This window comes from Homo sapiens, chromosome Y (assembly GCF_000001405.40).
Source record: "Homo sapiens chromosome Y, GRCh38.p14 Primary Assembly".
NCBI lineage: Eukaryota > Metazoa > Chordata > Mammalia > Primates > Hominidae > Homo > Homo sapiens.
This window is the reverse complement of record NC_000024.10, coordinates 11,808,455-11,824,547: the sequence shown is the minus strand read 5'-3', so window position 1 is coordinate 11,824,547 and position 16,093 is coordinate 11,808,455.

Genomic DNA, 16,093 nt, shown 5'->3' with positions numbered 1-16,093 from the left:
GGCTTGCAACACTGATGGTTGTGTGTGTGTGTGTTTGTGTGAGAAGAGAGAGGGAAAAGGAGAGAGAGAGAAAGGAGAGAGGAGGGCGGGGAGGGGAGGAAAGGAAAATTATTCTCTGTTTTCCGGAAGAACAGAAGAAGGGCCCTGTATAGGCAGAGTTAGGCAGATGTTAGGAAAGGCTGTGAGGGTTGTATAATCCTGGAATTGTCACCCTGAACAGTCATCTCTGGCAGAACTGGCTTATAGGTTACTGCCTTGTGGGCTACTAGATGGCTAGGTCAAAGACATCTTCCAAAGCTGCTTGATAGGAGGCATGTTCCCAGGGTTTTTCTGAAGGCTTAGCAATGCTGTTCAGTCCTTCTTTCTTACATGGGTCCAGCAGGACATTTTCCTAAAGGCTCTGAGTCCTGAGAGAGCACAAAGACCACTGAGAAAGATGGTTTGCTGAGGCCTCACGTTTTAGGCCGTAATAAATCACCGAGGCCTCCCTTTGAGTGAATTTCCAGTCTTTTCCTGTGATCAAGTTGAACTTTACCTACTTCTGGATTTGGCTCTGTGCCTGTGGGCTGCTCACTCTAGATATCTGGATAGGGCAGCATGAGCCTGGCCAGACTCCAGGAGGCGGAGGTGGAGGTTGGGCTGACAGCTTCTTCTCCGTCCTGAGAGGGTTGTGTTAATATCCACCCACCATTTCCAACTAAATTGTACAGGATTGTTCTGCTAAGCTGTTCCCATGTCCCCTCACTTGGAATGAGAGTGCAGGAAATATAAAGTAAATTACGTTTTCTTTATTGCTGAGCAAGTGTGTTTGATTCTTTTTCAGATTCTTAACAGTTACCTCTCTGCACATTAGAGGAGAAATAGACAACAATGTTTTTCAAAGACTGGCTCTTTTATCTTAGTTTTCATCTGGTCTGAATTTGTCCTTTGATTTGAAATGCAGTTTTGCGTGCCTTCCCACTGCCTTCCTCCCTCACCAGCAGCAGTTAGAAGTTGCAGTGAATGGTCTCACAGTCTAGAGAGGGATGAGGAGGGGCCAAGGTGCTCTAAAAGGTCTCAAAGTTTGGTGAAAAATCAACTTACAAAAGGCAGATTCAAAGGAGAAAAGGCATACACATTTATGTAATATGTATACATTGGAGCCTTCAGAATGAAGACCACAAAACGGAGAATAGTGTCCTTTTTTTTTTTTTTTTTTTTTTGAGGCAGAGTCTCACTCTGTCGCCGAGGCTGGAGTGCAGTGGTGAGATCTTGGCTCACTGCAAGCTCCGCCTCCCGGGTTCACGCCATTCTCCTGCCTCAGCCTCCTGAGTAGCTGGGACTACTGGCACGCGCCACCACACCTGGCTAATTTTAAAAATATTTTTAGTAGAGACGGGGTTTCACCATGCTAGCCAGGACGGTCTTGATCTCCTGACCTCGTAATCCGCCTGCCTCGGCCTCCCAGAGTGCTGGGATTACAGGCGTGAGCCACTGCACCTGGCTGATAGTGTCCATTTTTATGCTTAGTTTCAACATAGTATGAACAGTCATGTAGAAATATGATTGGATAAAGAGGGAATGATCTAATGCTAACAGAGTGAGTGGGGAACCTAGCAAAGCCTGTCTGTGTAGATATATTTTGAGAAATGATGTCTTTGAGTTGAAACTAAAGGGGAAAGCATGTATCATCCACATGGGCTCTTACATGCTGGTGAAATGGACTGAAAGCAACGCATTAAACACAAGGCGCTGTTCTGTGGGTGCATTAGGTGTGACTCTGTTCTATGCTGGAATAGAAGGAGAGAGGGTGGGCCTCTCTGAGCATACATTCTTTCCTTCTTGGCCTCTGTGCAGTCCTTCCTTCTGGGGCGTGGGGCAGGACCCTTTCAGCAAATAAGTCAAATGACTGTAGAATAAGTCAAATAAGGTAGGTCAGATTAATTTCTTCATGTCCAGTTTTTTAACATAGAATGGCAGAGGGAAAGTTATAGTAGTATTTTTAGGTTTTATGGCTGGCTTTGGAGAAAAGGGGTTCTGGTTTCTGTGACCTGCCTTGGGGAAGAGGGATTCTAGTTTCGATGGCTAACTCCGGGGAAGCTGTAGGGGCCAGAAACACGAAGGGAGGAGAAGGTCAGAGAAAAACATTTGCTTCTGAGGCAGCTTCACAGGCCTTCCTTTTGGAGTGGTCTCTGAGCCCCACGAATTGCACACTGGGATTGCGCTTTGGGTATGCTCTATGCTACCACTAACTAGTAATACTTTTGTAAGTCATTTGCTCCTCAAAGCCTTAGTTTTTTCACATGTCAAATAGGGGAAATGATAATTACTCACAGGGTGCTATGGAAGTTAAATGAGAAAACTGAACAAAATGGGCACTGACTTGATGTTGGCTGAATGAATAAATTTGCAGGTGAGTGAACCTTGAGCTTGGTTTAGTGGAGGAACCAGGACAAGTCCTCATGAACTTCTTTCTGACTGCTACTTTGTTTCTTTACACAGGTAGATTTTGGTTACACAGGTGGATTTGGCTACATTGTTTCTTTACACAGGTGGATTTTGGTTAAGAGACCAATCATCTTAATTCTTAATTGAAATGTTTTCTGGCCTCTAAGAAAGTTCTGCATGTATCAATGTGTGTATGAAATGAGTGTGTGTGTGTGTGTGTATTTGTGTGGGTGTGTGTGTTTTCCAGAATGGTGTTTTGGGTCATCCAAACAGTTTCTTTTTGGAGAACAGATCACCAAATACTAGTCTTCTTCATAGAAACATGTATTTCAAGCAATGCAAATTGGGACTATGTTTTGTGGTTATGTATTTATAGCACCATACTATATACCATAACCTATGTTTTCTGTTATAGTACATCATAGCACCTCCAAACGAATTAATGAGTAGGGAGCTGAAAGGGCATAGAGCAAGAAGTAGTGTCAGATGTGGTGTTTTAGGGCAGTTTAGGGAGATGAGATTAGAAATGGGTGGTTTAATCCTTAGATGCATAAAATGTTTTGTATTTCTCAAAGTCCTCTCACTTGTGTCATTTCATTTGATTCTAACAATGTCTCTTGGACATGAAAATCAATCGTTGTCTCCATTCTGCAGATTGTAAAACATAGACCCAGTTCCTTAGGTAAGTTTTGTAGCCAAGGTACGATGCAAAGCCAGGTAATCTGCCTGGAGTATTCTGTTTCACTAACTGGCCTCCCAGCTTCCATTTCTTCCTTCAGAATCATCTCCACACGGCAGCAAGAGTGACCCTTTAAAACTTAAATCAGATCGGCTGGGTGTGGGGGTTCACGTCTGTCATCCCAGCACTTTGGGAGGCCGAGGCAGGTGGATCACGAGGTCAGGAGTTCAAGACCAGCCTGGACAACTTGGTGAAACCCTGTCTCTATTAAAAATACAAAAAAATTAGCTGGGTGTGGTGGCGGGCACCTGTTACCCCAGCTACTCAGGAGGCTGAGGAAGAGAACTGCTTGAACCTGGGAGGTGGAGCTTGCAGTGAGCCGAGATCGGGCCACTGCATTCTGCAGTCCGGCCTGGGCGACAGAGCGAGACTCCATCTCAAAAAAAAAAAAAAATCAAAAATGTAAATCAGATCATGTCAGTCTCCTGAAGAAAACCTTCCCATGGCTCCCTGTTGCAATTCTGATCAAGCCCACATCCTTGCAAGGCTTATGGGTCCCATAGCTGGCACTCTCTCCCTTTCCTCACCTTCCATTCTGCCTCTTGCTTTCCCCAAACATGCCAAGTGCTTTCCTGCCTCAGGCATTTTCATGTGCTCTTTCCTTTGCCTGGGATGCTCCTACCCCAGACCCACAGATCACAGGTGTCTTCTCATTGTGGCACCATCCCTATATGCTTTATAGAATTAATCAGGAAGAAACAGGCAGGAGGCAGAGGGAATGAAAATAAACCCAGCTTGCAGCACACTCAGCATTCATCATGAGGCCAGCCTGCTCTCTGAACTGCTTCCTCAGAGCAGTTTGGTGCCTATTGTCCTAGAATCACATAGACCCTAGATTGTAGCTCCCCTTAACTGCTCTATAGGTAACATTTTGAACATTACAAAATATTAGGGTTTCCCTTTGACATATTCCTTCAGGTCTTGCATACCAGCGCCACTAGTGGCAACTGGTCTGAAGGACCCCATGAGAAGTGGACTCACCAAAGGATGCAGTTTCCACATCCTGATGATTTCATCTGCCTTACCCCAACCAATCAATAACCCCAAATTTCCAGGCCCCTGCTTTCTATAATTCCCTTAAAAACCCCAGCCCAGAACTCCTTAGGGAGATGGGTTTGAGGGTTTCCTCCCACCTCCTTCCTCCCCTCCCCGCCCTCTCTCCCTCTCTCCCTCTCTCCCTCCCTCTCTCCCTCCCTCTCTCTCTCTCTCTCTCTCTCTCTCTCTCTCTCTTTCTTTCAGCAGAGTCTCGCCCTGTTGCCCAGGCTGGAGTGCAATGGCACAATCTCGGCTTGCTGTAAACTCCACCTCCCAAGTTCAAGCCATTCTCCTGCCTCAGCCTCCTGAGTAGCTGGGATTACAGGCATGCACCACCACACCTGGCTAATTTTTTGTATCTTTAGTAGAGACAGGGTTTCACCCTGTTGGCCAGGCTGGTCTTGAACTCCTGACCTTGTGGTCTGCCCACCTCAGCCTCCCAGAGTGCTGGGATTACAAGCATGAGCCACTGCACCTGGCCTCCTCTCATCTCCTTTCTTGGCTGCCCAGTGAGCGTTAAACTCTTTCTCTGCTGCAGACGCTTCTGTCTCAATGTAACTGGTCTGATACTATGCAGCGGACATATGATCTTGTTAATCCTGTAACAATCATCTGGGTCTCAGCTCAAGTGACACCTCCTCAGAAAGGCCTTCCTTGAGAGTTCTATCTAACAGAGTTTAGTTACTGCCATAGCAGAGCTTTCCAGCCAGTGCACCTTGGTACATCGGCGTGTTGTTGGTGAGAAAAAAGGATGCTGCCATAGTGACCTCTCCACCCTAGGGAAGGCCTGGGGGAGCCGCTACCCACAGCCTATGTCTTTACTCCAGCGCTCTGTGGACATTATCAATTTTTATTTTATTTATTTATTTATTTATTTATTTATTTATTTATTTATTTATGTATTTATTTATTTATTGAGATGGAGTCTTGCTCTATCTCCGAGGCTGGAGTGCAGTGGTGTTATCTCGGCTCACTACAACCTCCGCCTCCTGGGTTCAAGCAATTCTCTTGCCTCAGCCTCCCACCTAATATTTGTAATTTTAGTAGAGATGGGGTTTTACCATACTGGTCAGGCTGGTCTCAAACTCCTGACCTCAGGTGATCCACCTGCCTCGGCCTCCCACAGTGCTGGGATTACAGGCGTGAGCCATTGCGCCTGGCCCACTGTCAACTGAACATGTTTGAGAATCACTGCAGGTATCATCCTATATTACTTTTATCTTAGCATTTGTGACTATATGAAATTAACTAATTTTTTTGCTCTTTTATTTCACTTCCCTTCACTGAATGAAACAGACTTTATCTAATTTGTTTATCATTTGTTTAAAGGATTTAGTGTTTAAAAATAGCACCTGCCACATAATAGGTGCTTAATATTTATTTGTTAAAATATTGAGCCACCCCTATTGTCAAAAGAGCAGTGGCAGGGATAGGAAACTTTGTTATGACTTGAGGTGAAATTCAAGCATTGAATGGGGAAATCATCCTACAGCTGTTGGCAGGGCACTTTAAACTTTAATTACTTTAAGGATTTAGGCTGCTACTAGAAGCCCAGAAATACAATAAATGCAGTCATGTAACATTATTCTCCAAAAGAACAAACTCAGAGCAAAATCAGCAGATTTGAATGTAGGCTAAGTCTGAGGCTGTGCAAGTTTCTGCCAAAATCAGTATTTGTAAATTAATAATATTTATTTAATATTTAATACTAAAACCAAACTGCAGAAATTTAGTGAGAGAATAACTTTCATTCTTTGGGGAATATAATAAAGCCAAGCTATAACAATAAGCTTCTCTTTTTATTATGAGTTTCTGCTTCCCATACATTTCAGCTTTTAGTCAGTACATAGGTGAATGAAGGTCAAACCTTGTGGCATGAATGACCAAAACTGCTGCAGCTGTAATTCTGACAGCAAAACTGCTAATTTTCTCTTCTCTAGGAAAAAACACGAGGTGCAAAAGGAGTTACCATTCTATGTAAAAGGTAAAGCTGTGCTAATAATAACAATTAGAATTTCACTGGGTGAATTTTATCTTCATGAGTTTTATCCTCACCATGCACACGTACACACAAAGTTTGCTTAGGGAGTCTTTTTTCTCCCTCTCTCTCTGCATGTTTTTTTTAATGACCCACCCACCCATTACTTTTTTCTTTTCTTTTTTTTTTTTTGAGAGGGAGTCTCGCTTTTGTCGCCCAGGCTGGAGTCCAGTGCCGTGATGTCAGCTTACTGCAACCTCCGCCTCCCAGGTTCATGCGATTCTCCTGTCTCGTGGAGTCTCACTCTGTCGCCCAGGCTGGAGTGCAATGGCACCATCTTGGCTCGCTGCAACCTCCGCCTCCTGGGTTCAAGTGATTCTCCTGCCTCAGCCTCCCAAGTAGCTGGGATTACAAGCACCCGCCACCACACACTACATTCAGCTCATTTTTGTATTTTTAGTAGAAACAAGGTTTCACCTTGTTGGCCAGGCTAGTCTCGAACTCCTGACCTAAGGTGATCTGCCCCCCGAGGCCTCCTAAAGTGCTGGGATTAAAGGCGTGAGCCACTGCACATGGCCTACCACCTACCCATTTCTTAACTCACAGAACACACACTTGGCTCTTGGACAGCATAGCTCTTTTTCATGTAAGGAACAAACACCATCTCTATTGCCAAGTTGGTAGGAAGTATTCTTACAGTGGTTTCTGTGACATGACTTCAGATAGAATCATTAGCTGGGGATGCTGGGTAGCCACAGTTCCTGTTTCAGGCACTGATCAACTTCCAAGTCTATCTGTACTTCGATCAGGCACTGTGTGTTGGGGAATACTCCATCACTGTTCTTTTCATTTTTTGATATTGATTTCTTAGAAATAGGTTTCAGTATTCTGGAGGCATTACCCATGGTAGCAAAGAATAATCTTAAGCTGTGTGTACATGAGGTCTCTACAGTTGGTTTCATAGTGAAATATTCAGTCAACCAATCTCAGTCTTTAGATGCGGGAACTAAAAAACCAACTTTACTGATTTGGCTCCACTGAAGATCTTAAATTTTGCCTGAATCGTCCTGACAGTTTTAGACAGAGCAGCTTTTGCCTGCACTGTAAGTCAAGAAGAGGGAAAAAGAAACTGAGCAATTAGACTGTGTAGCAGGTTTACCTGTAAGAAAATTCACTTGAGTTTTGTTTTGATTGAAATTCAAGCTTTCCTTTCCAGGCTTTTAAACTGCTAATGCCAGAGGCTAGTTTGGGTGACAGCGTGCTTTGATACGTACTCTGTGACTGCAGTTTGAGGTTTTTCTTCACCTTGAACTCCCTCCTGAGGCAGGTGGTCTCCTTACTGTCCTGCTAATAAGTGATCCTCACTTCTGCCACTGTGACTTTGCCCACCTCGAGCCTGTCTTCTTTTGCCCTACACATCACGCATATTGAGGGGGTCCTATGAATGCCAAACTGAATGATCAGTCTCTTGGTTAGACGAGATGTCAGCTTTTGGTTAAAACGGGCATCTTTTAAATGATTTTCTATTGCTTACTGCAAGAGATTTTAAATTAGAAGACCAGCTTTCTGAAATTTGCCCAAGGGTAAGAATAGCTATTGAATGTGATCCTTGGAGAATAGGGAGTGGGGGAAGGGGCTTGGGATCCTACAAATAGTCCAGAGGGTTCTTATGTCAGGCAAGTTTGTCAAACTGAGCTGTACTAGGAGTTGGATGTGGGAGAGAATGTGTAAATGTGAGTCAAGTTCTTCAATGTCCAGCTGGTAAAATGGAATATGGATCATTGGCTCCCTCAGGTTCTCTGTACTGAGCCATTTAAACCAGTTCTCAGGCTTGGGTTGGCCATCAGTCCAGAAGCATAGTTTTTATATCAAGGCACCTTGGAGCTAATGTTCTGCCTTAATAGTACAGAGGAGAAAACCGAGTTTTCAATAGGTACTTTATAAACTGAGGGGAAGAATCAAAATTACAGCCCAGATCATCCAACTCAGGGCTGTTTGCTTGGGCCTGTCTAGTCAAACAAGACCAGGTGCTCTGAAAAGCTCTACCAGTGGAGTTTAATGATCTGCTGACACCGTCTTGAAATTCCTTACAATTTTATCTTTGATTGTGTGTTTTGTAAGTGCAGTCTGATGGGACAATGGAGCATGAACCAAGGACAGATGCATAATACGCATGTCCACTGTTGTGCACCGCCATGTGAGCATATAGCATTTGCAATACTGTGCGAGCATAGAACTGCAGTTGACTTATGCAGCGTGGCTGTTCATGAGACCCAAAGTGAGTACAAGGTAAATAGTTTCCACCTAAAGTCGAATAACACGCCAGAACTTACAGAAATCACAGATCTGTTCTTGAACAGATGTGCTCAACCTGAGAGCAACAGACTCAGCAGAGACTGAGTCTATGTCCTGAAGTAGGTTAAATGAGGCACAGGGTACATATGACATTTTCTAACAGGGGGATATGTGTAGCACCAAAGGCAGATAGTGGAGCAGCAGTTACGTTCTTGTGATTCTGATCGGTGTTCAGTGACTATATACATAAAATAAGGTAACTGTGTGTTTAAGTGGGTAGGGAGAAAGTTAATGACTGTGTAGGCCTTTTAGGGTCTGGTGGAGGGTGATTGATATCATCTGGTCTTTGTTCTACATCTGATAAACAGGATTACAACCAGTATCTGCCAGTGAAATATTTAATAAACTCCAATTATGTTGCTGATTGCCAGGGGTTCGGCCAAGCTCTGGTTGAAAGACACTGTGTCTGTCTTTCTTTCTTTCTTTCCTTTCCTTTCTTTCTCCCTTTCCCTTTCTCTTCTTTCTTTCTTTCTTTCTTTCTTTCTTTCTTTCTTTCTTTCTTTCTTTCTTTCTTCCTTTTTCTTTCTTTCTTTTCTTTCTCTCTCTTTCTTTCTTTTTCTTTCTCTTTCTTTCTTTCTTTCTTTCTTTCTGTCTTTCTTCTCTCTGTCTTTCTTTTTCTTTTCTTTTCCTTTCTTTCTTTTTTTTTAATGGGATCTCACTCTGTCACTCAGGCTGGAGTGCAGTGGTGCAATCGTAGCTCACTGCAGCCTTGAAATCCTGAGCTCAAGCTGTCCTCCTGCCTTGGCCTCCCAGTTGGCTGAGATTATAGACATGAGCCATGGTGTCTGGCCATATTTCCAGGGAAGAAAGGCTTTAATGCAGGTGACATCAGCCAGGAGATGGAGATAAATCTCAGATCTGTCTCTCTAATTGACTAAAATTAGGGGTTTGTAGAATGAGGAAGGAATGTAACTATGTAGGGGAAACAAGAATTAGGGAGAGATAAGGAAGAGGAGCTGGTCAATGGGAAGCAGGTAGTCGGTTAGGCCATGGTGATGAGTGTGAGGTCTGGCATCTCATTGTCTGGATGTGGTGAGCTGGTAAGTTTCAGTTCTTTGATACTCTCTGGAGGGCCTGATGGTCAGTGTCTTGTGAAAGGAGCTCAGATAAGACAAGTGTGTAAGTTTCAAGCTTTCTGGGATGGGGTAAATTTCTATTTGTATTAAAAAAAAACATAAATATTAGTTCTATGGAAAAATGGGCTGGTTTCAGTTATACAGGCGAGAGGTCAGCATTAGCTTGTAGGCCTAGGTTTTATTACTCATGTGCCCAACTGAAGCCATCTTGGGCCACTGTTTAAACTTTTTCTTTCGAATTTTCCTTTTTTTCTGACAGTGTGAAGGTCCATGACTCAGTGTCCCAAAAAGCGACACTTTCTGTTTGGACCAAAATTTACTTCCAATGTAGAAAGGAAATTGAGTTTTAAGAAACAAGCATGATGCGGGACCCCTATCATGTTCTTACTTGCTTGTGTTATTTCCCAGTGTTAGTCAAACACTTATGCTGAAAATGAGGACATGGAAGGAAAAGGCAATGTAGAGAAACCCATTGTTCCTTTTCCTTTTAGTTCTTCCTCAACCATCAGTAAGTTGAAGATAGAGTGCTTTGGTAGAATATGTGCACGATCAATAGGTGGAAAAGAGACAGCTGAGTTGGCTTTGTGCAGCATTACCACCATCCTGGTAAGACAAAATACCTATGTATGTATGAGCCATAAAATAGAAATTGGGTAATTTCTGTGATTCTGCCTTAATTAAATGCTCTTATGTTCGCACATACAACTGGCATTCTAAAGATGAACCCTATAAAGGTAAATAGTAAAATCTTCTGTTTAATTTGAAATTTCAATTTTGTTCTACTTACAACAAAATTCAATTGCAAAGAAAAAGCATCATGACAAGTGAGAGAGAAAAAGACTGTGGAAGGAAAAGGAAAGCATTTTAGCAACTTTAACAGCACTTTTGTCCTCCTTTTTGAACAGGGAACCTGCATTTTCATTTTGCACTGGGTCACACAAATTATGTAGCTGGCCCTGCTCCCGTGGTGTCTGCATTCTCAGCTTCCAGCAAAGTGACTGTTGGCCCTTGGGAGAGTTGCAACAAGGGCAGTAGACAGAAAAGGAGGCACAAAGAGTACCCCTCAGGCATAAAGATGTCACCTGGCTGCTCCAAGAAAAATCTGTGTAGCAGCTTTACCTTGGTCTCTGTGGAAACCAGTCATGTATTAAAAATGAAAAGTTAAAGCATCTTTCCACTGGCTGTCCCTCTAGGAAGGAATCTCCTTTAACTAAAATATGTTAATAGATGCAGCCTGCTACTGGCTCCTGCCAGACCTAAGGTGACACAGTTCTGCCCTTTAAAGCACAGGCTCCGTGAGGTAATTACCATTTTCCCTCCTCTTTCAAGTCCAGTGAACAAGAGAAGAGAAGAGCAGAACGAATCCATTGTATTCCAATGAGTTGTGGGCTTAAGACTTCTTTTAAGACACATAAAATTGAGCTTTTCTGTTGCTTAGATTTCTGTTAGGTTGTAGCTTTCTATTTTCTTAGAACTGAAAGTTGAGACCTTTTAGAAGGATTTGTTTACAGTTTGGTCTAAGTCCAACTCGGAAGACTGATCTCTTTCTCAAGACTGAGTTTACTTTGGGGAGGAGGTAGTGAGTTTCAATATTTCTACCCACCTGGAGCATCAGGGGTGTCTTCTATGATCAAGGAAGGAAGCCACTCAGGGTGATAGAGCTGCAGACTTCTGCTTGGTCACTCTGATAGCTCTGGGAACACTGTGCACCTCTCTGGCTGTGATGGGGAAACTTTGCAAATTGTTTCCATAAGAGCATCAGGGAGATGCTACATCATGACCCCTTGCTCCCACAAAGAAATCCTCAAAGAACCCATCTCCATGAATTCAGTCAAGTTGGCCTCTAATTTTTAAGAATGGTAATTACTTTACAGCAGGAGTGAAGGGCTCTCAAAATCATCCATAGTGAATTTTTTTTTTTTTTTTTGAGATGGAGTCTCGCTCTGTCGCCCAGGCTGGAATGCAGTGGTGCGATCTCGGCTCACTGCAAGCTCTGCCTCCAGGGTTCACACCATTCTCCTGCCTCAGCCTCCCGAGTAGCTGGGACTACAGGCCCCTGCCACCACTCCTGGCTAATTTTTTGTATGTTTAGTAGAGATGGGGTTTCACCGTGTTAGCCAGGATGGTCTCGATCTCCTGACCTCGTGATCCACCTGCCTCGGCCTCCCAAAGTGCTGGGATTACAGGCGTGAGCCACCGCGCCCTGCCCATAGTGATTTTTCAAACTACAGAACCCCTGTCCCTGAGATTTAGAGTTCTCCCTTTACCCCAAATTCTCTTTATAGTAGAAATAGGTAAATTGAAGAGCAGCAATAGGTAGGGCTTTTTCATAAACTTTACTGTATGCTTACAGCATAAGCAATGTCACGCAAAAGAAGAAACACAAAACCCCCTCCCTAGTCCTCCAAACAAGAACACTGCTTTGCTCTGCAGCAGCCATCTAGCTGGAGCTCTGGCCAGATTGCCCACAAACTCACCTGTGTTGCCTCCTCGATGGGAAAAGAAACAAGCGCACTAATGGTGCATTTCTGTGGAGAGGAGATAAGTGTCCTAATTAGGAAGGCTCTGAAAATGAGTGACTGAGGCATTATTGGATCTGATTTGGGGAGCACTACAGTCTAAAGCCTGAATGCATTAAAGAAGAGTGAATTAGAGTCAAAGGGTTTGTTAGGCAGAAAGAAAAAAGTGGAAAGTCTGTGGGGGAAGAAAATCCTTAATGGAATTTTCTATTGAAATAACCAATAAATAGCTTGTTAGAAATAGGTCAAAGGAAAATATGTATTTATATATTCATTCCCCATTTTTGTTTCATGTCTGGCTTGCTGTCCAGAAAGCTTTAATTCTGTGGTCTGTTACCATAAGAACATTGATGTAAATAACAATTATGCTTGCAGAGCACCATTGTTAATGACTTTCAACATTATGTAATTGTCTGAAATGTAGTGTGCCAGGAAGTCAGGTTAATTTCTTTGCAGAGCTCTTACATTGTTCTTTACAATCTTGCTGGAAAATCAACTCATGGCAGAAGAATTCTAGGCTTTCCTGCCCTCCCTACCTCTTACATCCCAACAGATTTAAAAAACCTTTACAAAAATTACTACGTTTTGTTCTTGCTTCTATTATTGCAGTGGCATAGTGCAGTAGAAAAGGCATGGGGAGCTTGGCACAGTGGCTTGCCCCCGTAGTCCCAGCTCCTCAGAAGGCTGAGGTGGGAGGATTGTTTGAGCCCAAGAGTTGGAGACCAGCCTGGGCAACATAGCGAGAACCTGTCTCTTAAAAAGCAAAGAAAAAAGCGTTGGGATACGTTAAGCAGGTCTGGGTGCAAAGTCCAGCTCTTTTGCATAGAAACTATATGATTTTAGAAAAGCTTTAATTTTCAAATTCATTAGCTATAAAGCAGGGATGATGGTTATACCTACCTGGAACACAGTTTTTGTAAGATTTAAATGAAGTAATATATATATATATATATATATTATATATATATATATATATATATATATGATGCAGAATGTGCATTATTCAAGAATAAATGTCTAAGATAGTTATTCAAGGCAGTAGTTCCCTGCATTCTTGAAATAGCTTACAATCGGCCGGGCGCAGTGGCTCATGCCTGTAATCCCAGCACTTTGGGAGGCTGAGGCGGGCGGATCACGAGGTCAGGAGTTCAAGACCAGCCTGGCTAACACGGTGAAAACCCCGTCTCTACTAAAAATACAAAAAATTAGCCTGGTGTGGTGGCGGGTGCCTATAGTCCCAGCTACTCAGGAGGCTGAGGCAGGAGAATGGGCGAATGGGCGTGAACCCGGGAGGTGGAGCTTGCAGTGAGCCGAGATCACACCACTGCACTCCAGCCTGGGTGACAGAGCCAGTTTCCATCTCAAAAAAAAAAAAAAAAAAAAAAGAAAGAAAAAAGAAATAGCTTACAATCCCTGGAACTTGTGAGTATGTTATCTTACATGGCAAAGGGAATTTGCAGAAGTGATTGAGTTAAAGGCCTTGAGATGGGTATGTTATTCTGGATGATTTGGCAGGCTCCAGTATAATCACATAGGTCCTTAAAAGTGGAAGAGGGAGGCAGAAGAGAGGGTCAGAATGATGAGAGGTCAGGACTTCACCCACCATTGTTGTATCTGCAGATGGAGGAAGGGCACGGGAGCCAGGCATGCAGGTGGCTCTTGAGAGCTAGCAGAGGAAAGGAAGTGGATTCCCCTGTAGAGCACTCAGAAAAGAATGTGCCCCTGCCTACGCCCTAACTTTAGTGCAGTGAGATCCATGTCAAAATTTTAACTTTTAGAACTGTCAGGTAATGATTTGTATTGTTTTAAGCCACTACCTCTTTGGTCATTTGTTAGATAGCAGCAATAGAAAATAAATACGCTCATCTCAAGTATCATTCTCCCTCCAACAACCAGAGGGGTCTTGCCAAAACCTTGGAAAATTCATGTGCCTTTTCTGCTTGCAACCCTCCAAATGCATCATTTTCACTCAGAGGACTCCAGAGTCCAACAATGGCCCTCAGGGCACTGTGGGATCTGGCTCTGCCACCTCTCTGGCCCTAGCTCCATAAATCTTCCCTCTTTTGCTCCATGGCCATTCCTCAGACACATCAAGCTGTCTCCTCACTGCAGGGTCTTTGGCTCAACTCAGGTTCCCTCTACCTGAAATGATCCACCTTCAGAGAATTGGATGGTGAGTAAACACAATTAAAGAAGTTGGCCAGGCCTGGTGGCTCATGCCTGTAATCCCAACACTTGGAGAGGCCGAGGCGGGTGGATCATCTGAGGTCAGGAGTTTGAGACCAGCCTGGCCAACATGGCAAAACCCTGTCTCTACTAAAAATTCAAAAATTAGCCAGGTGTAGTGGTGTGTGCCAGTAATCCCAGCTACTCAGGAGGCTGAGGCAGGAGAATTGCTTGGACCTGGGAGGCAGAGGTTGCAGTGAGCTGAGATTGCACCACTGTACTCCAGCCTGGGTGACAGAGCAAGACTCTGTCTCAAAAAAAAAGTTAATCCATGTGAACAATTTAAGACTGTACTAGCTTCAGCTAGCAAGTAACTGTCTTAATAACTGTCTCAGCTCATCTGTGTGGCTCACTGTGACTTCCTGTCTCTGCTCAGCTTAGCACCATCATTCTCCATCATTTATCACATTTTCCACTCTATACTTATCACTCTCTGATATGTTAAGTATTTATTGGCTAGTTTTTATTTTCTCCTCTAGTAGACTGTACACTCTATGAGAGCAGGAACTTTGTTTTGTCCACTGTTGAACTCTCAGCCACTGGGAGACTGTGTGGCACTGTTTGTTTGAGAATTAATTCATTCCCACCAGGAATGCTGAAAAAGGGTACATCTACAGTGAATCTGAGGTTGAACTGAGACCTCTAAGGTTATTTTCATCTCAAAGTTGAAGACATTGCTAATTTTTTCTTTTCTTTTTCTTTTTTCTTTTTTTTTTTTTTTTTTTTTGAGGCAGAGTTTGGCTCTGCCACCCAGGCTGGAGTGCAGTGGTGTGATCTTGGCTCACTGCACCCTCCACCTCCCGGGTTCAAGCGATTCTCATGCCTCAGCCTCTCGAGCAGCTGGGATTACAGGTGTCCGCCATGACACCCAGCTAATAGTTTTGTATTTTTACTAGAGACGGGGTTTCACCCTGTTGGCCAGGCTGTTCACGAACTCCTGATCTCAGATGATCCACCCACCTTGGCTTCCCAAAGTGCTGGGATTATAGGTGTGAGCCATTGTGCCCGGCCATGGTGCTCATTTTCATAAAGCTAATAAGAGGTAGAACCAGCACTTGAATTTTGATTTTTTTGTTTGTTTGTTTAAGGCAAAGTTTGTCATAGGTATTTTCTCATGTTGCCTCTAGCTGATGCCTTTCCCAGCAGGGCTCTCCCATGGGACTTCTTGGTTTCGCCATGTTTCTACCTCTGGGAAACATATCGCACTTGCCTGAGTCCTTAAGCACCTGCTTGCTGCCATGTGATAGTTGATACTCATGCCTTAATAAAACAATCACATACACTTAGGAAACATGCAGCTCTAATGGAGCCCAAAAGGTACATGGACTCAGAACACCTCAAAAGGTACAAAATTTTGGCCATGAGATGAGGCTGGCGGGAGGGAATGGCTTGAAAGGAGTGTCTCCATATCGTATCACACAAAGAGTTGGCATTTGGAGCTCCTGACACTTGAGCTGTGATTTTTCAGTGGTTCTGTAGAAACTGCAAAATGTAGGATATGACCTATTTGAGATTGAAGTCCTGCAGTGGTATAGGCCATTGATAGTCATCTTATTGGAAGATATTTGTCCCTGGATCTTGGTGGCATTTTTTGCCACATGCAGACTTTGTGTACACAGAAATACTGGGTCAATTATTTTGAATAAACTGACTTGCTTAGTCTCTTTTGTGTTGCTTTATATAAAGGAATACCTGGAGCTGGATAACGTATAAAGAAAACAGATTTATTTGGCTCATA